Below are 22,020 nucleotides of genomic sequence, written 5' to 3'. Positions count from 1 at the left end.
AGGAAGACTTGTTTGAGAAACAGCAGCCTGATGGCCTATGTTTCTAATTCTCATGGTTGTAAGCCTTTGAAGCTAATTAGAACTGCCCAGCATCAATGGCATCTTTTTAAAAAGCATAAATAAACAGTCTGTGTCTTTTCACTTAATTTCAACCAGTTCATCATTAGAATTGAGAGAAAGAAAATACAGGGGAAAAAATCTATGAAAAAGATGGCACTCTGAGAACTAGTTAGTGGCAAACATCAAAGTGCACATAATACTTACACACATTGGCTTCCCAGTAGGATACATTTATATTAATATAGTGATCACTTAAAGTGTTTTATTCTTTTGTCAAGCTTTCTTATACACTTCAAATGCATTCTCACTGGGGGAAAACAATCCCCTTGCTTATTGATAGCATTTGATACGCATTCTATAACATAAGTGACTATTAGGGACTACACTTGCTTAATAAAAATTTGCAGAACAGTGGCAGATTTGGTGAGTTAATGGGCCCCAGATGCTCTTCTTATGCTGACAGAAGATTGTATATTGCTATCATGCACAAGTCTCTTCAGATAAAAATTGCCATCAGCTACAGTTATTCTTTTTTAGAATGCCAACACTATATCACGAATGGGGAATATGCAAATGTGTTCAGATTCTCACTATTCATATTGAGATACTTTGAGGCAAAGTACCACTCTAAAATATGATGCAATGGTAGTCTTATATAGATAACTCCATTTCATTTAATTTTTGATTTCCATATCTTTGAAATAATAGAGACTGCAATTTTGAAGTTGATGTTTGGCACAATAAAAATACATCTTCTAATGAGGCCATAAATACTTCTCTTTGGATAGTTTGCTAGGAAACTAAATATCAAGTAATCCCTTAACAGTTAATAAATTTGTTTTCAAGAGTTGTTCCTTCAGAACTTAAAAAAATTGATGTAGTTGCCAATATTAAAAATCAATTTTCCTCTCCTTTAGCAGATCAATTTCTGTGCCACTGATTGATTTCCAGAATTTCTAAGGAATGCAAACCTGTTTCAAATTGTAAATTAAGTTTCTTCCTGAGCAACCATGAACTATTACTGCATTAATCTATAGTGTTTTCGTATGTCAATGACAATTTGGCATAATGATTCTGCTTAGGAAGACTTTTTGAGTTTTCAGCAATGTGAGTTTTCATGTGTTAAAAAATTCTTCCATCTATTGAAACACACACACACACAAACACACACCCACACCCACACACACAAAACAAGGCTTTTGCTGAAAAGGGGGCTAGGGAATTAGTATAATGGTGCAAACATTTATCTCATTTATCTTAGCAAGCTTTCCCAAAAGCACTGTGTTCCATCTCGAATGTGCTGCAGCTCTGAGAGTGAGCTAATCAGAACTCAGCAGCTGAAATTTTTTTCCAATATCATAATGCATCTCTCAGCCATGGTGACATAGGGTAAAAAAGGAGGGCTTATTCCCTTCATCGTTATCCAACTATCCATATGTTCACAACTCTTCAGTGATCTCTTTAAAATTCCTTTTCTTTCTCTATGAACCTTAGAAAGTCTTAAATTGAAAGTTGCGAAAATCCAATACTTTTCATATGTTCTTACACTGTCATCTTTAGCTCATTAAAGAATATTGGAAAATCCAAGTAATTCCTTCATAAATTTGTTAATTTGTTTTAATCCATTCAGTACACACTGTTTTTCTTAAAAGAATCAGATACTCAACCCCATGGTCTAATGAGGAGATACAAATGACATATTTGTTAGAATAAAATATGTTAAATAGTTTCATTAAGAAAAAGATATGCTTCAGGAAGAGTGGAAGGTCAGACAGACATGAAGGTTCATAAAGACAATAAAGGTTTTAGGTGAATAATTATTTGCATCAATTGATCTGGGAGGAGCAAAAATGCCTTTTAGCACCTAGAACACCTTTACTCCTGGGGAAGGGAGTAGCATGAAAATAAAAAGGAAGATCCCAAGCTTTGACCTTAAAAGGCCCTGGATTCTGATGCTAATTACATCTGTGAGTATGATTTAATTACTGAGTCTTTTTTCAAGCTTACTGAACTTATTTGTAAAATGTAGATAAGGCCTCATAGGATGAGACAACTTGATGTAAAAATTTATCATGAAACCTAACAGAAGTAGGTGTTCACAAATAGATTATGATAGCCTTTCACATCTCACCACTTTTGCCAGCTTTTCTGTACTCTAGCACATCAGATATATATATATATATATGCACATACATATATATATATACACATACATATATATATATATATATATATACACACATACATATATATATATATATATATATATATATTTTTTTTTTTTTTTGAAACGGAGTTTTTTAGCTTTTGTTGCCCAGGCTGTAGTGCAATGGTGCGATCTTGGCTCACTGCAACCTCTGCCTCCTGGGTTTAAGTGATTCTCCTGCCTCAGCCTCCCAAGTATCTGGGATTACAAGCGCCTGCCACCAGGCCCAGCTAATTTTTGTATTTTTAGTAAAGACGGGGTTTCACCATGTTGGTCAAGCTGGTCTCGAACTCCTGACCTCAGGTGATACACCCGCCTCAGCCTCCCAAAGTGCTGGGATTACAGGCGTAAGCCACCGCACCCAGCCCAGAAATATTTTTTATTATTGTTTTTAAATAGAATTTTACCTTACTACACAACATTAAACATTTTTACATTATACAAATTTAAACATTTTTATTTATTAAAAAAATTTAGAGACAGGGATCTTGCTATGTTGCCCTGGCTGGACTCAAATTCCTGCACTCAAGTGATCCTCCTGCCTCAGCAACCCAAGTAGATGGAATGACAGCCGGTGCCACTGCACCTGGCTATAGAAGAAGGTTTTTAAGTAGGCCATGCAACTTTGTACTTAGGTACAAAATCTAAGTAACACATACTATTTCTTCTGAATTGCAAATATCTCAATTATTTGTGCACGGGTCTGTTTCACATTAAACACCTTCAGCAGGGCATTTGTCTTGTTTTTCCATTTTAGCCTAGTACCACGTCTAGCACCGCTCAGGTACTCATTAATGTCTGCTGAGTGAATGCGGCATGTGTAAGAATAAATAAATGACACCAAATTTGGGCATGTCCATTCAGCAAAGGATTCTAGACTCATGAATGAGACAACTGTTCATTGTGAGATATATATAATTATAGGAATGGTGTAGTGTAAATGTATTTAAACACTGTAAAATTCTTGTGGCAGAATTTTCAGACAAGTTCCTAGCAAGGAAGGGTAGGAGAAGGTAATTGGGGTCCAATTCTGGGACAGGTCTAAATAAAGACCAAAACGTAACAGAACTGTTTGGAATAAATATAATTCACTTGTATTTTGAGTAATGAACTTTAGAAATGTAGAAAAATATATGATTAGCAGGCTAGTCTCACTTTGCTGTCTTTCTCTCGGTTATATATAACTGACCACTAGGGTAGTGATTCCTCTCTATTTTTTGGCTTGTTGGCTCTAATCACACTCTTGTTCTTCACGTAGTATACTTGAAATACCAGTTCCCTCTGTTTATAGAAAAATCACACTATATTTCTAAAAAAAACTGAATACTTCATACAAACAGCTCTTCTTTCAACCTGCAAATGTTATGAGTTTCCAAAGCTGTAAATACAGGAAATAAATGTCTTTCTGGTATGATAATTTCAGAAAAAGGCCAAGAACAGAAATACTAGCTTTAAAAATTGCTTTTACTAAATATTAAAGCATGAAAAAATACCAATATGTGTAAGGTATAAAGGATAACAACTGGCTGAGTGTGGTGGCTCCCACCTACACTTTGGGAGGCCGAGTCGGGTGGATCATCTGAGGTCAGGCATTCAAGACTAGCCTGGTCAACATGGTGAAACCCCGTCTCTACTGAAAATATAAAAAAATTAGCCTGGCGTGGTGGTACAGGCCTGTAATCCCAGCTACTTGGGAGGCTAAGGCAGGAGAATTGCTTGAACCTGGGAGGCGGAGGTTGCAATGAGCAGTGATCGCGTCATTGCACCCTAGCCTGGACGACAAGGGCAAAACTCTGTCTCAAAAACAAACAAACAAACAAACAAACAAAGGGTTTAAGCAAACACTGTGTATCAACCACTGTGTTGAAGAAAAATATTATTTTATCTTTGAAGCACTATGGGTGTTTCAACCCAGTGCCATTCCTTTCCCTCTTTGCTCAGAGGTAACCACAATCCTGAATGTTGTACTTTATAATTCTCTTGCACTTCTTTATACGACAAATTTGTCCCCAAATAGTACTCTTTAAATGTGTATAAAACTTTCATTAAATGACATTAGATTCTATCAAGTATTTTTTCTGTGTCCACTGATGTGACTGATGTCACTGCGACTGATCAGTGATGTCAGTAACGTGATGTGTCCACCATATGATCATATGGTTATGCTTTTTCTGTTTTAGTCTGTTAATATGTGTCCATTGATCAATTTCAAATGTTAAAGTCACATTGTATTCCTGGGATAAAATCTTCTTGGTCATGATATATTATCTTTTTTATATATTGTTGGGTTCAATTCACTAAATTTTTATTAGTTTTTATTTTTGAGGGTGGCTTGGACAAATTTATTTTCTCACATTTCTGGAGGATAGAAGTCCAAGATCAACCTGTGAGCAGTGCTGATTTCTCCTGGGGCATCTCTCCTTGGCTCGTAGATGGCTGTCTTCTCCCTGTGTCTTCACACAGTCTTTCATCTGTGTGTGTGCCAAATTTTTACATCAATTCAAGAAGGATATCAATCTAAATTTTTTTTTCTAATGTCCTTGTCTGATTTTGGTATCAGAGTAATGTTGGCTTCATAGAATGAGTTGGGGAAATATTCACTCCTCTTTATTTATCTGGAAGAATGTCTGTAGAATTGTTATTATTTCTTTTTATGAAACAAGTCAAATTTGCCAGTGAAGTCATTTGTACCTGGAGTTTCCTGTGTGAGAAAGTATTTAGCTATAATTCAGTTTCTTTAATATCTACAAGGTTTCCACACTATTTATTTCTTCTTGCATGAATATGATCATTTGAATCTTTCAAAATCTTTGTCCATTACATTTTAGTTGTCAAATTTATTGTGCATAATATTGCCTTAACATCCTTTGAATATCTGTGAAATCTGTACTGATGTCCCCTCTCTCAAACCTAATAATGTTCACACGTCTTGTTTTATATTATACTAATCAGTCTGGTTAATGGTTTATTGACTTTATAAGAAAACTGGCATTTGGTTTCTATGACTTTACCAAATTTTTTCTAACGCATTGATTTCTGCTCTAATTTTTATTTCTCTTATGCTTAATTTGGATTGAATTTACAGTAAAGCCTCCCCTTATCCATGGTTCTGCTGTCTTTGGTTTCAGTTACCTATGGTCAATCATAGTCTAAAATATTAAATGGAAAATTCAAGAAATAAACAATTCACACTTTTTAAATTGTGTACTGTTCTGAGTAGTGTGATGAAATCTTGTGCCATCTTGCTTCATTGCACTCAAACCATTAATCATCCCCTTTGTGCACAGTAGCCGCACTGTATATGTACCTGTGTATTAGTCACTTAGTAAGCATTTTGGTTATCAGATCCATTGTGGTGTATAGTACTATCCTCTACAGCACTATGGGGTTCAGAACTATACTCAGTTTCAGGCATCCACTGGGGGTCCTGGGGCATATCCCCTGTAGACAAGGGGGGTGGAGACTACTGTACTCTACTTTTTCTGTTTTCTTTTTAGACAGGTTCTCATTCTCATTGTCCAGGCTGGAGTGCAGTGGTGTGATCTCAGCTCACTGCAGCGTCGACTTCCCAGGCTCAGGTGATTCTCCCACGTCAGCCTCCCGAGTAGCTAGGACTACAGGCAAATGCCACCATGCCCGACTAACTTTTTGTATTTTCAGTATAGATGGGGTCTAGTCATGTTGCCCAGGCTGGTCTCAAACTCCTACGCTCAAATGATCTGCCCACCTCAGCCTCCCAAATTGCTGTGATTACAGGTGTGAGCCATTTCACACAGCCTCTCTTACCATTTTTTTAAGTGAAAGCTGAGGTCATTTATTTGAAATCTTTCTTCCTTTTCTAAGTTCAGTGTTATAAATTATCCTCTTAGTGACATCTCACAATTTTTCTTATCCCACACATTTTTATAGGAAGTGTTTTTATTTTCATGTAGTTCAAATACTTTCTAATTTCTCTCTGGCTTCCTTCTTTGATCCATGTGTTATTAAGAAGTATATAATTTATTTTCCAAGTATTTGCAGATTTTCCAGATTTCTTTCTGCTATTGAATTCTAATTTAATTTTACTATGCTGACAGAATATATGTTGTATGACTTGAATTCTTTCAAAACTTTTAAGACTTTTTAATAGTCCAGAATGCGGTATGTCCTGTTAAATGTTCTATGTGCTCTTGAAAAAAAATGTGTATTCAGTTGTTGTGCAGAGTGTTCTATAAACGTTAATTAGGTCAAGATAGTTGATAATATTGTTCAAATCTTCTATAGCCTTATTGATTTTTTGGTATACTTGTTCTATTAATTATTGAGACATAGTGTCAAAATCTTTGACTATAACTTTGGATTTGCCTATTTTTCCTGTTGTTTGATGTATTTTTCTCTTATTTTTTGAAGCACTATTATTAGGTGCATAAGCATTTAGAATAATTACATTGTTTTGATGATTTGGTTCCATTAAAGCTATGAAAGGACTCTATTTCTGGTAATATTTTTCTGAAATCTACTTTCTCTGATATCAATGTGACCATTCTAGTAGTCTCTTCATTAATGTTAGCAGGGTATGTCTTTTTCCTTCCTTTTACTTTTAAGTTACTTGTGTCTCTAAAGTGGGACTTGCTGTGGCGCCCATATTGGAGAGCAATGCCATGATCACAGCTCACTGTAGCCTTGAACTCCTGGGCTCAAGTGATCCTCCTGCCTCAGCCTCCCAAAGTGCTGGGATTACAGGCATGAGCCACCATGTCTGGCCATGACTTGCCTTTTTTATCCAATTGACCATTTCTGCCTTTTATGGTCTAACATATATATTTAATGTGACTATTGTTATGGTTGATCTTGAACATACCATCTTGCTGTTGTCCTATCTGTTCTTTCTTCCCTTTCCCCTACTCTGCCTCTTTTGGGTATTTTTTGTATTATTATTAGAGTGTTCTTTTGTTATTATGTATATCTTACAATAGTATATAGACTTACAGACAGTTCATCAACTTAAAATGGTTCAGTGTATGATTTTTTGGCTTTGCAATGTCATATGCATTAAGTAGAAACATATTTTAAGTAACTACATAACCATTCTGTTGTCACTTTCAGTACAGTATCTAATAACTTACATTAGATTTTCAACAGTATATTGTAAAATAGGCTTTGTGTTAGATGATTTTGCCCAACTGTAGGGTAATATAAGTTTTCTGAGCACATGTAAGGCAGGCTAGGCTAAACTATGATGTTTGGTAGCAACACATTTTTTACTTATACTATTTTCAACTTAATGATAGGTTTATTGGAACGTAACCCCATCATAAATAGAGAGGGATCTGTATTTCAATGTCTCCCCTCACAGCCTCTGTGCTGTTATTGTCATATAAAAATAATATATTTTTATATGTCTTAAAAACCCCATTCTACATTGTCATTATTTTTGTTTAAACAATTAACCTTATATTTAAATAAGGAAAATTTTAAAACACATTCATCCAAGTAATTATAATTTCTGATTATCTTCATTTATGTAGATCCATATTTTTATCTGGTACCATTTTTCTTCTACCAGAAAGCCTTCCTTTAACATGTCATATAGTGTACCTGTTGGTGATTTACTCTTTCAACTTTTGTATTTCTGGAAAATTCTTTGTTTTAGAAAAATATTTTTGCTAGTTAAAGAATTCTAGTTGAATAGTATTTTTCTTTCAATATTTTAAAGATACTGTTACACGATGACACCTTTGTATTTTTCCTGTGAGAAATCTGCTGCTGTTCCTCTTTTTTTCTCTGTATGAAATGTGTCGTCCTGTTTTTTAGATGTTCTCTTTAACCATGATTTCAGCAAATTGTTTATAATGTGCCTTGGTGTGGTTTCCTCATTTTTTGTGTCTGTACTTAGAGGTTCATTTGAGATTCATGAATTTGAGTTTCCAGATTTCATTACATTCGAAAACATGTTGACCATTGTTTTCTCAGATATTTTTTCTCTGTCCCTGTTTTTCTCTCATTTGGTGAATCCAATTACATGTATCTGAAACCACCTGAAGTTGCCCCACAATTCACTGTTCAATTCTGTGTGTCTTTTTCCTTTCAGTTTGTATATTTCTACTGTGTGTATTCATATTCACTTGTCTGGTTTCCTGCAATGTCTAATTTGCTGTTACTCTCATCCAGAGTATTTTACATCTCAGATATTAAACTTTTCTTTTCTAGAAATTTGATTTGGGTCTTCTTTTATATCTTCCATAGCTATACTTAATATGATCAATTTTCCTTTGGCTTTTGAATGTATTAAATACAACTATAATAATTTAAATGTCTTTGTCTGCTAATTCTAACATCTGTGTCAGTTCTGGTTTTAACTAATTTTTTTCCTTATTATATGTCTTATTTCTTTACATGCATATTAATATTTTATTGGATTCCAGATATTAGAAATTTTACCTTTTTGTGTCATATATATTCCTGTAATTTTAAATACACTTTTTGTATTTAAAACTTTTTTACAGATAAGATCTGGCTCTGCTACCCAAGTTGGAGTACAGTGGCACAATCACAGTTTACTACAACCTTGAACTCCTGGCCTCAAGCCTCCCAAGTAGCTAGGACTACAGTGTGTGCCACTATGCTTGGCTAATATTTACACTCTGTGTGTGTGCGTAGGGGTTTCACTATATCGCCCAGGCTGGTCTCAAACTCTCGGCCTCAAGCAATCCTCCCACCTTTGCCTCCCCAAATGTTGGAATTACAGGCATGAGCCACTGTGCTTAGCCCTTCCTGTAATTTTTTAAAATGTCATTGGAATATAGTTACTTGGAAAGAGTGATCCTCTTGAGTCTTGCCTTTATGATCTGCTAGGCAGGACTATAGCAGCATTTACTCTATGCTGATTGTGCTGTACAACAGAGGCAATGGCCTCTTGCATACCTTATCCAATGTCCTACGGATTATGAGATATTTTCTCCAATCTTGTGGGTGGGAACAAACATTGGTCTCACTCTTGAGTGTGCTCTGGGTACTGCTTCTTGAATCCTTTTGGCCTAGCCTTGGTAGTTCCCTACATGCATGCTCTGATGAATACTCTGTGCAATACTTAAGGAAAACCCTCCAACTATACGTGGAGTTCACGCTATGCAGATCTCTCTTCTCTGGTATGTTTCTCTGTACACTCTAACCCCCTTGCTTTCCCTGACTCATAGCTCCATTTCTTAGACTCAATAACTGAAAACTGTGATATTAATTTTACATCAAGCTTCATAGTATGGTATTAATTTTCCAGAAATAAGTTTAAAAATAGTGAATCTGGCTGGGTGCAGTGGTTCACATCTGTAATACCAGTACTTTGGGAGGCCAAGGTAGGTGGATCACTTGAGTCCAGAAGTTTGACACCAGCCTGGGCAACATGGCAAAACCCCATCTCTACAAAAAAAAAAAAAAAATACAAAAATTAGTTGGGCATGGTGTTATGTGCCTGTGGTCCCAGCTACTCAAGAGGCTAAGGTGGGAGGACTGCTTGAGCCCAGGAGGTCGAGGCTGCAGTGAGCCATGATTGCACCACTGTACTCCAGACTGGGCAACAGAGTGAGACCTTGTCTCAAAAAAAAAAAAAAATAGTTAATCTACTTAACATATGAAACATCTTTATTCTTATAACTACAGCCTTCTAAATCATACAACCAATGGCCCTAAGACCACTTAAGTCTTAAAACGTAATGAGGAGTAAGAGAGCCAAATAGAAGCTTCCACTGATAATCCTCCCCACAAGCACACCGAATTGAACTACTAGACACATGAAAAAGCCCCTTCATAAGAACCAAAAATCAGGTGAGTGATCACAGTAACCACTTTTACTTCATATCACTGAAAAAGGCACTGAAGGGGATAGGAAAGACAGTCTTGATTTGCTGACACCACCACTCCCACGTCCTCCACTCCCCTGAAGAAGACACATGGTACAGACAGAATCTGTGCACCTTGGGGAGGGAGAGCATAGTGATTGGAGACTTTGCACTGGAACTCAGTGCTTTCCACCCTGTCATGGTGGAAAGCAACACCAGGCAGAACACAGCCAGAGTCCATGGAGGGAGCACTCAGACCAGCCCTAGCCAGAGGGAAATTGCCCATCCCAGCAGTCAGAACCTGAGTTCTGCCAAGCCTTGGCACTGCAGGCTAAAGCGCTCTGGGGTCCTAAACAGACTTGAAAGGTAGTCTAGGCCCTAAGGACTGCAATTACTGGGCAAGTCTTGATGCTGTGCTGGGCTTGGAGTAAGTGGACTTGGGGGGTAATAACCTAGTGAGACAGCCGTTGGGCGGCTAATGCAGTGCTTGCACCACTCCTCCCCCAACCCCAGGCAGTGCAGCTCACGGCTCCAGGAGAGACTCCTGCCTTCTGCTAGAGGAGAAAAGAGGGAAGAGTTAAGAGGACTTCATCTTGCAACTTGAATCCTAGCTCTACCACAGTAGGGGGCACTGGGCAGAGTCCTGGGGCCCCCATTCTAGGCTTTAGCTCCTGGATGACATTTCCAGACACACACTCTGCCAGAAGGAAACTCGCAGCTTTGAAGGGGAGAACCCAGACCTGGTAGGATTCATCACTTGCTGACTAAAGAAAATGTGGGTCCTGAATAATTAGCAGCAGTAGCCAGGCAGTACTTGCCATGGGTCTTGGGTGAGACTCAGAGACATGCTAACTTATGGTATGGCCCAGCACATTCCCAACTATGGTGGCTACGGAGAGGGTCTCCTGCTTGAGAAAAGGAGAGGGACTTGGTCTTGCACCTTAGGTACCAGCTCAGCCGTAGTGGTATAGAGCACAAAGCGGGTTCTTGGGATCACCAATTCCACACTTTGGCTCTTAGACAGCATCTCTGGATCTGCCCTGGGCCAGAGGAGAGCCCACTGCCCTGAAGAGAGAGTCCCAGGCCTGGCAGCATTCACCATGAGCTGACTGAAGAGTCCTTAGACCTGGAATGAGCATCAGTGGTAGACAGGCAGTACTTGCCATGGACGTGGTGGTGGTGGCTGTGGGGAGAGAGTCCTCTGCTTGTGGAAAGAAGAGGGAAAAGTGGGGCTTGGTGCCAGCTCAGACTCAAGAAAATGGAGCACCAGGTAGACATCTAAGGTTTCTGACTCTAGGCCCTGGCTCCTGGACGGCATCTGTGGACTCACTCGAGGCCAGGGGGACCTTGCTGTCCTGAAGGGAAGGACACAAGCCTGGGTGGCTTTACCACCTGCTTATTGCGGAGCTCTAGTGTCCTAAGCAAATGTAGGTGGTAGCCAGGCAGTGGTTACTGTGAGCCTAGGGAGAGACCCAGTGCTGTGCTGCCTTCAGGTCTGACCCCAAACAGTACCAGTGGTAGTCGTAGTGGCCACAGGGTGCTTGTGTCAGCCCTACACCGGTTCTAGGTGGCTCAGCACACAGAGAGAGGCTTTATGTGTTTGGGGGAAAATAAGGGAAGAGAGCAGAGTCACTACCTGGTAATTTCAGGGAATTAATTCTCCCAGATCTTATCCAAGACCACCAACATGGCACCTCTACAAGTCTGTAAGAGTCACAGCATTACTGGGCTTGGGGTGCCCCCTAATGCAGTTATGGTTGCAGGGGCCGAAGATTAAGGTCACAACACTCAATTCCCTTGAAGAGCCAAAGCGTGGAATTGATGACCCCAAGAACCGATTTAAAACCTTCCCAAGAAGGATGGGTACAACAAGCCCAGACTGCAAAGACTACAATAAATACCTAACTCTTCAATGTTGAGACAATGATAAACAATCACAAGCCTCAAGACCATCCAGGAAAACATGACTTCACCAAACGAACTAAATAAGGCACAAGTGACCCAAACCCAGAGAGACAGACATAAGTGACCTTTCAGATACAGAATTCAAAATAGCTGTTTTGAGGAAACTCAGTGAAATTCAAGGTAACAAAGAGAAGTCATTCAGACTCCTATCAGATAAATTTAACAAGGAGACTGAAATAATTAAAAAGAATCAAACAGAAATTCTGGAGTTGAAAAATGTAATTGACATAGTGTAGAATGCATGAGATTCTCTTAACAGCAGAACTGATCAAGCAAAAGAAAGAATCAGTGAGCTTGAAGCCAGGCTATTTGAAAAGACAGTCAGAGAATAAAAAGAATAAAAAAACAATGAAGCACACCTACAAGATCTAGAAAACAGCCTCAAAAGAGCAAATCTAAGAGTTATTGGCCTTAAAGAGGAGGCAGAGAGAGAGACAGGGGTAAAAGGGATTTACCCAAAGGGTAAATTTTTTTACTCAAAGGGATCGTAACAGATAATTTCCCAAACCAAGAGAAAGATATAGAACACCAAGCAAATTTACCCCAAATAAGACTACCTCAAGACAAGTAATAAGCAAATCCTCAAATGTCAAAGATACAGAAAGGATCCCAAAAGCAGCAAGAGAAAAGAAACAAATAATAAACAATGGAGCTCCAGTAAGTGTTGCAGCAGACTTCTCAGTGGAAACCCTACAGGCCATGAGAGAGTGACAGGATATATTTAAACTGCTGAAGGAAAAAAAGAACGCTTTTTATTCTAGAATAGTATATCTGGCATAAATATCCTTCAAACGTGAAGGAGAAATAAAGATTTTCCCAAACAAAACCTGAGGGATTTCATCTACACCAGATGTGTCCTACAAGAAATGCTAAAGGGAGTTCTTCAATCTGAAAGAAAAGGACATTGATGAACAATGAGATATTATTTGAAGGTACAAAACTCACTAGTAATGTTAAGTACATAGAAAAACACAGAATATTAAAACATTGTAATTGTGCCATGTAAACTACTCTTACCTTGAGCAGAAAGACTAAAATATAAACTGATCAAAAATACTAACTACAACAACTTTTTAAGACATACACAGTACAATAAGATATAAACAGAAACAATCAAAAGTTAAAAAGCAGGAGGATGAAGTTAAAGTGCAGAATTTTCATTAGTCTTCTTTTTGCCTGTTTATTAGTTTGTTTCTTTATGCAGTCAGTGTTGTCATCAGTTTAAAATAGTGGGTTATAAGATAGTATTTGGAAGCCTCATGGTAACCTCAAATCAAAAACATACAACGGATATACAAAAAAGAAAAAGAAAGAAATTAAATCATACCACCAGAGAAAATCACTGTCACTAAAAGTAAGATAGGAAGGAATGAAAGAAGGATGAGAAGACCACAAAACAACCAGAAAACAAATAACAAAATGGCAAGAGTAAGACCTTACTTATCAATAACAAAATTGATTGTAAGTGGACTACATTCTCTAATCAATAGACACAGAGTGGCTGAATAGATTTAAAAAAAAAGATGCAATAATCTGTTGCCTATAAGAAATACACTTCACCTAAGAAGACAGACATAGATTGAAAATAAATAGATAAAAAAAGATATCCCATCCCAGTGGAAACTAAAAAAGAGCAGGAGTAGGTATATTTCCATCAGGCAAAATAGATTTCAGGGCAAAAATTATGAAAAGAGACAAAGAAGGTCACTATATAATGATAAAGGGCTCAATTCAGCAAAAGGATATAGCAATTATAAATGTATATGCATCCAACACTGGAACACCCAGATAAATGAAGCAAATATTACTAAAGCTAAAGAGGCAGAGAGATCCCAATACAATAATGGCTGGAGACTTCAACACTTCACTTTCAGCATTGGACAGATCATCGAGACAGAAAAATCAACAAACATCAGATTTAATCTCACTATTATAGACCAAATGGACTAAATAGATGTTCATAGAACATTTCCCACAATGGCTGCAGAATACACATTCTTCTCCTAAGCACGTAGATCATTCTGAAGGGTAGACCACACATTAGACTACAAAACAAGTCTTAAAATATGCAAAAAAAAAACCCTGAAATTATATCGAGTATATTCTCTGACTACAATGTAATAAAACTATACATCAGTAAAGACATAAATTTTGAAAACTAAATATAAACACATGGAAATTAACCAATACACTCCTGAATGACCAGTGGATCAATTAAGAAAGAATGGCTTTGGCTATTCTTCACAGAAACAGAAAAAAAGACAATCCTAAAATCTATGTCATATCACAAAAGGCCCAGAATAGCCAAAGCCATCCTGAGCAAACTGAACAAAACTAGAGGAATCACATTACCTGACTTCAAATTATACTACACAGCTAAAGTAATCAGAACAGCATGATCCTGGCATAAAACTAGAGTCATAGATTAATGGGACAGAACAGAGAAACTAGAAAGAAATCCATATATCCACAATGAACTTATTTTTGACAAATAAGCCAAGAACATACACTGGGGAAAGAACAGTCTCTTCAATAAACGGTACTGGGAAAACTGGATATTCATATGCAGGAGAATGAAACTAGACTCTTATCTCTCACCATATAAAAAAAAATCAAATCTACATGGATTAAATACTTACATATAAAACCCCAAACCATGAAACTACTACAAGAAAACATCAGGGAAATGCTCCAGGACATTAGACTCGGCAACGATTTCTTGAGTAATACTCCACAAGTACAAGCAACCAACTGCAAACATGGGCAAATGGGATCACATCAAATTAAAAAGCTTTTTTGGCCGGGCGTGGTGGCTCATGCCTGTGATCCCAGAACTTGGGAGGCCAAGGCGGGCGGATCACAAGATCAGGAGATCGAGACCATCCTGGCTAACACGATGAAACCTCGTCTCTACTAAAAACACAAAAAATTAGCCGGGCGTGGTGGCAGGCACCTGTAGTCCCAGCTACTCGGGAGGCTGAGGCAGGAGAATGGTGTGAACCCGGGAGGCGGAGCTTGCAGTGAGCAGAGATTGTGCCACTGCACTCTGGCCTGGGTGACACAACGAGACTCTTGAGATCGTGCCATTGCACTCTAGCCTGGGTGACAGAATGAGAATTCGTCTCATAAAACAAAACAAAAAAAGCTGCTTCTCAGCAAAAGAAACAGTGAACAAAGTGAAGAGACAATCCACAGAATGGGTGAAAATATTTGCAAACTACCCATCTGATATGGTTTGTCTCTGTGTCTCCACCCACATCTCATGTTTAATTGTAATTCCAAATGTTGGGGAAAGGACCTGGTGGGAGGTAATTTGATCATGGGGGTGGATTTCCCCCTTGCTGTTTGTTCTCATGATAGTTAGTGAGCTCTCATGAGATCTGATTGTTTAAAAGTGTGCGGCACTTTCCCCTTTTCTCTCTTTATCCTGGTCTGACATGTAAAGATGTGCTTGCTTCCCCTTTGCCTTCTGCCATGATTGTAAGTTTCTTGAGGCCACTCAGTCATGCTTCTTGTACAGCCTGCAGAACTATGAGTTAATTAAACTTCTTTTCTTCATAAATTACCCAGTCTCAGGTAGTTCTTTAAAACAGTGTGAGTGAGAACAGACTAATATACCATCTGAAAATGGATTATTAAACAGTATACATAAAGAGCTCAAACAACTCCAGAGGAAAAAAATCTAAAAATCTGATTTTAAAAATGGACAAAATATCTGCACAGATATTTCTCAAGACATAAAAATGGCAAACAGGTATAGTAAAAGGTGCTCAACATCATTGATCATCAGAGAAATGCAAGTCAAAACTATAGTGAGATGTCATCTCACCCCAGTTAAAATGGCTTTCATCCAAAAGACAGGCAATAACAAATGCTGGCAAGGATGTGGAGAAAAGGGAACCCTCAAACACTGTTGGTGGGAATGTAAATTAGTACAACTATTATGGAAAATGGTTTGGAGGTTCCTTAAAAAACTCAATATAGAGCTCCCATATGATCCAGCAATCCTACTGCTATGTATATACCCAAAAGCAAGGAAATCAGTATATCAAAGAGATATCTTCACTCCCATGTTTATTGCAGCACTATTCACAATAGCCAAGATTTGGAAGCTACCTAATTGTCCATCAACAGAGGAATGAATAAAGAAAATGTACATATAAATAATCAGGTACTACATGTACCCTAGAACTTAAAGTATAATAAAAAATAGGAAAAAAATATGGTTATGGAAGATAAAAGAAAGTTTCAAGCATGTTGGCTTGAATGGCCAGTTCCAGGTTGGCAAAAATAATTATCTCTTTCTTTTTCTTTCGACCCATGGAATAAAAAATTATGAGAAAAGAAAAAAAAATCAGGTACTATTCAGCCATAAAAAAGAATGAGATTCTATCTTTTCCAACAAATGGATGGAACTGGAGGTCATTATGTTAAATGAAATAAGCCAGGCACAGAAAGGCAAACTTTGAATGTTCTCACTTTTTTTGTGGGATCTAAAAATTAAAACAACTGAAGTCATGGAGATAGAGAATAGAATGATGATAACCAGAGGGGTTGGGAAGGCTAGTGTGTGCTGGGGGGTTGGGGGCGGGGGGCTTCTGGGGAGTGGCGGTGGGGAAGTGGGAATGATGAATGGGCACAAAAATATAGTCAGAATAAGATCTAGTATTTGATAGCATAACAGGGTGACTACAGTCAACAATAATTTATTGTACTTTTTTTTTCTTTTTCTTTTTCTTTCTTTCTTTCTTTTTTTTTTTTTTTTTTGAGACGGAGTCTCGCTCTGTGGCCCAGGCTGGAGTGCAGTGGTGCTGTCTCCGCTCACTGCAAGCTCCACCTCCTGGGCTCACACCATTCTCCTGCCTCAGCCTCCCGAGTAGCTGGGACTACAGGCACCTGCCACCATGCCCGGCTAATTTTTTTGTATTTTTAGTAGAGACGGGGTTTCAACCATGTTCTCCAGGATGGTCTCAATCTCCTGACCTCATGATCCGCCTGCCTCAGCCTCCCAAAGTGCTGGGATTACAGGTGTGAGCCACCGTGCCTGGCCCATTTATTTTCTTTTTTTTTTTTTGAGATGGAGTCTCACTCTGTCACCCAGGCTGGAGTGCAGTGGTGTGATCTTGGCTCACTGTAAGCTCCACCTCCTGGGTTCATGCCATTTCTCCTGCCTCAGCCTCCGGAATGACTAAAATAGTATAATTGGATTGTTTGTAATACAATGACAGGATAAATGCTTGATGTGATGGACACCCCATTTACTCTGATGTGATTAGTATGCATTGTACACCTGTATCAAAACATCTCATGTACCCCATAAATATATACTTATCACATAACTACAAAATTAAAAGGAAACATAATGGAAGAACACTAAGCTAAGAATGTGATCAGTGGCTGAGGACAATATCCTTTGGAGGTCTCATCACTTACTTCTTTCCTACATAAGGATATTATGAAATCATTGCTGAGAACAGGCAAGTTTTATTTGGTTGGTTGGTTGGTTGGTTGGTTTTTTTGAATACAGGACCATAAAAAGAAAGCAGCTGAGTGGGCAGACTGAAAAGAAACCATATCTAGGCTCAGGGTTATTCTCCTGTCCTGACAACATACATGCTGTCTTCATGAGCAGCAGTCACAGCCAGTCAGCCGTCAGGTCTTCCTTTCAAGAATTCTCATACCTGGACCTATGGCTTTTGTTATTCCATGGCTGAATTTTTGCAATTGCCTCCAACTTGCTCTTGACCCACCTCTGTCTCTGTAACTCTACTACTCATCTTATTTACCACATCAACATTCATCCATGCTAAACATCACTTTCATAATTTTTCTAAGCTACTCCAAACCTTCACTAATATTTCACTGCCTATGAATAATATTCTCTTTATCTTTGTATCCCAGATTTGTACCCTTTTTACCTTTTCCATTATATTATCCTCTATTCATCTTCAAGTCACATAGAGTGATTCCTGTTTTTTTCTCATTTGTGTTTATCTCTTGTTGAAAATGCCGCTGATCTCACATGTTTAGATGCTGCACTGTTACTCCTTCTGGGACCTGTACTTCCTAGAATATTCTCTCCATCTCTGCTCCCGATCCTGCCTCAGAACACTTTAGCATTTCCTCCAAGAATACGTACCACTTTCTACTCTGTACTACACTGATTTATGGACAACCTCAATGAAGGCAAAGATAGCATTTTACTCATCTTTACAAAATAAACAGTTACAGTTTACAACGATACTATGAAGTCTCTGCTCCATCTTTTTTTTTTCCCACCTGACACAGAGAAAAGACTATTTGTGCAAGATTGCTCCTAGGAAACCTCATTCTCTGCTCATTTCTGGAATCTGTCAGGGATGGACTATGTTTACCACTCAAATTGTAAAAGCTTTCATGATTCTCAGACCTTTGACAAATATTTCTGCTATCAGCAAGAAATTGATATTCATTAAACCATCAATAAAAGGGGCACAGGCTACCTTAAGGCAAACGGCCATTATTCACTATTAACTGATGGAAAACACACCTCTGTTTCCACTATTTATAATGTATGTTTTCACATTGTCTAGTGACCCCTTTTTTAACAGATAGGAAGGAAATGAAAACTTATTACCAATTTAGCATGTGTCAGAAATCATGGTAAGCATTTCAATATGTGTTATCTCATTTAATCCTTACAAAAACTCTTTGAGTTGGGTTTTATTATCTTCATTTCACAGAGGAGGGAACTTAGGCTAAGAAGGGTTATGACATAAAGTTTGTACGTGGAACAGCAGGGATCTGAAGGGTTCCTGACTTCAAAGCACAAATTCCTTCTACTGTGTGACTTTGAGAAGATTTTGCTAATGACTTTGCCATAAAGAACTACATATTTCTACTACTTAACACTATCTACTAAAGTAGAATTTCATACCAACCTATATGAAACAGCATATGTGTTTCTTTTTTTTTTTTTATATTGGAAGGTCTAATAGTTCATTAACTTTCTGGGTATTTTTCATGAGAAAATTACTGGGATTTTTTTTTCAACTTTTAAGTTCAGAGGCGCATGTAGAGGTTTGTTACCTAGGTATACTTGTGTAATAGAGGTCTGTTGAACAGATTATTTCATCACCCAAATATTAAGCCTAGTACCCATTAGTTATTTTTCCTGATCCTCTCCCTCCTCCTACCCTCCACCCTCCAATAGGCCCCAGAGTGTGTTGTTCCCCTCTATGTGTCCAGCATATAATGTTTTTAAAAATAATTGTTGATACTCTCAGAAATAAGAGTTATAATAAGTTGTTTAGAGTCTCACGCACCTGGAAACTTTTACCAAGACAGGCATGGACTACTGTTGGCATTGTGTCAGAGCAGGGGAAAAGGGAAAAATAAGACAGAGACGGAGACAGACAGACAGAGAGAGAGAGACAGTGCTAGGTGATATCATAGAGAATTTATTGTTTGTACATGGTAATGAAGCAACAGAAAGAACCACAGATGAATCCAAAGTGTGTGGCCTCGTGATTGAAATATGCCATTATTAGAAAGAAGATACAAGGGAAAAAGTAGTGTAGGATCAGGCCAACAGTCCAGTGTAGCATAAACAGCATGGAGCACCCTAGGACCCACATCTCCCTTTCACTGACACCCTCACCAAAGTTTTTAATGCCACCTAAGACAGCATTAGCTTTCCTGGCAGCTGAACCGGGCTACTGCTGGCTCATCAACTGTGTGCAGTCAGCTAAAAATCCTGAAGTCGTTTTTCGTACTAACTGCCGTTAAACCAGATCATCTCCATCCGATGAATGTTTACGGAGAGCCGGTGGTACATCGGGCACCATGCTAGGCACTGAGGTTGTAAAAGGAGCAAGGTAGTCCTGAGCCCTGCACTGGCAGGGCTTCTAACACACAAGTAATCACAAAGAGTGGAGTAAGTGCTAGCAAACCTACCTGGCCAAAGCTACCTCCAGCTCTCACCTTGACAGATGTAACATCTCTTGACTAATCTGTGGGACTCTGCATTTAGTCCCTATGGTCTATTTTCCACAACAAAGCTACTGTAATTATTTAAAAACTAAAACCAAACCAAAACAAAAATCTTATTATAATAGCCCCTTGCTTAAAGCCTCCCAGTTAGCTTCCAACCACATTTAGAAGAAAATCCAAAGGCTTCCACAGCTTCCAAGCCCTGCCTGGGCTGAGTGCAGCAGCCCCTCCAATATCATCTGCACAGCTCTGCCCTGGATCAGGGTACTTCACCCAATCCAGCCTCACCACAAGTCCTAGGACACGCAAACCATGCCCCTCCTCAAGGTTTTGGAACATGCTCTTTTCCATACTGTGGTGCTATTCTCACAGATAGCCACAAAGTTCACTGACCTCCTTTGATCTTATCTCCAAAAATGTCATCTTATCAGAGAGGTCCTCCCATCGCCACCCTATGTAAAGCAGGCCTCCCAACCCTGACTGTCCATCATTATCTTCTTATCATTCTCCATTTTTCTTCAAAAGACTTGGTACTGCCTGGCATCTTCCCCAAGAAAACATAAGCTTCACGTGGACATGAGCTTTACTTTGTTCACTGTTTTATCTCTGGAGCCTAGAACATGTCTGAAATGTAGTAGGCACTCAATACATATTTGTTAAATAAAAGGCTGGTCAGAGAACCTTGAAAGTTGGTAATGAGGCACCTAACAGTAGCCCATGGATTGGGCTTTTCTGGAAATGTATAGGAAATTGGGAAGATGTGTTTCGGGCAAAGAAAACATGAGAACCTAAAAGCAGCCTAAAATGAGGAACCCTAAGATCTTCCATTTGGCTGGGGTGCTCAGTGTGAGAGGGAGCCTGGAGAGAGAACAGGCGGAAGAGAAAGGAAGGGGCCAGTCATAGAGAATCTCAAAAACCACATTAATGAGTTCTGTCTTCATCCTCAGGGCAATGGGATGTTGTTAAGGGATTTTTAGCAAGGAAGTGACATGATCAGATTTGTGTTTTAAAATGATCACCCAGGCTGCAGCGTGGAAAATAAATTGGATGGGAGTAAGGCAGGAAGCAGTTGCTTCCTTTTTTGAACCCAAATACAGGAATTTACATTCATCCCTATTAAATTTAATCTTCTGAATTGCGGCTCAACAGTTCTCCCTGTTGAGACCTTTTTGAATCCTGATTCTGTCATCCAGTGTGATTTGCTAACCTACCAAGTTATGTGGCTCCTACAAACGTGACAAGTAAGCCTGCTATATCCAAATCATGTGCAGGGCTTACATTACTGAAAACCATGTCTGCTCTCTTCATGGCACTTTTGCCTGTGGTTGTGAGATTTCCTGGCTGGGTGAAAACATTTTCTGATCATTCCATGGTATTTCTTATTGCAAAGTTAATGAGCCAGCCCAGAATGGAAGTAACCATAAAGACGTAGTAACTCAAGCTACCCAGAACTTTCCTGTGCATTTCCTCAAGAGCTTATGACTTTACCATAAGGTGCCAACCCATTTTATTCTTGCATGAATTAATTTTGGCACCTGGTTTCTGGCTGGGGATTGTATAGCTGCTTTGTTCTTGGCTACAATAAGTGCTATCAAAAAATTTCTCTTCTGGCACGAATTGAAGTACATAATACTGTCTATATTTCTGCCCAGAATCTACTATCATCTGTTTAATATGCAAACTGTGCAAAACCAGGGCTACTACTGTGTAATAGATTTTGAAAAGTTGTCATCCAGATTCATTGTTTATTAGAGTTTATTAACTTTGGGGGTTTATGTGCTGTCTCTTCATTTCAGAGCACACAACCATTCACTTAAATGGGATGCACAAAGTTCTTCACACACTCTAGTGAACTCATCTGGTATTTTATACTGATCTATTAGATGAGCTCACTTAAATCACGCTCCTTTCTGCAGAAAAGGCGATTACACATACATATTAAATATCTGCTAGCTTTTTGGAAAGTATTGAGTTATATTAAGAATCTCGAACAAAGTTGAGCTA

At 38.5% G+C, this 22,020-nt stretch overlaps 1 protein-coding gene across 17 annotated transcripts in view, besides 1 other annotated feature; it reads right to left on the bottom strand.

The window, feature by feature from the left end:
- PARD3B (par-3 family cell polarity regulator beta) overlaps positions 1–22,020 on the bottom strand; it is a 1,074,688-nt gene that overhangs the window by 378,980 nt on the left and 673,688 nt on the right. The window lies entirely within an intron of this gene.
- Positions 4,874–6,073: an enhancer, noted in NCBI's record as "MED14-independent group 3 enhancer chr2:206099834-206101033 (GRCh37/hg19 assembly coordinates)". NCBI's record gives its function as "activates an origin of replication core promoter dependent on BRD2, BRD4, P300/CBP and CDK7 cofactors, and independent of MED14, by STARR-seq in HCT116 cells {active_cell/tissue: HCT116}" and the evidence as "EXISTENCE:reporter gene assay evidence [ECO:0000049][PMID:35650434]".

The sequence above is a fragment of the Homo sapiens genome, chromosome 2 (assembly GCF_000001405.40).
Source record: "Homo sapiens chromosome 2, GRCh38.p14 Primary Assembly".
Classification (NCBI taxonomy): domain Eukaryota; kingdom Metazoa; phylum Chordata; class Mammalia; order Primates; family Hominidae; genus Homo; species Homo sapiens.
This window is presented reverse-complemented; position numbering and strand designations above follow the sequence as displayed.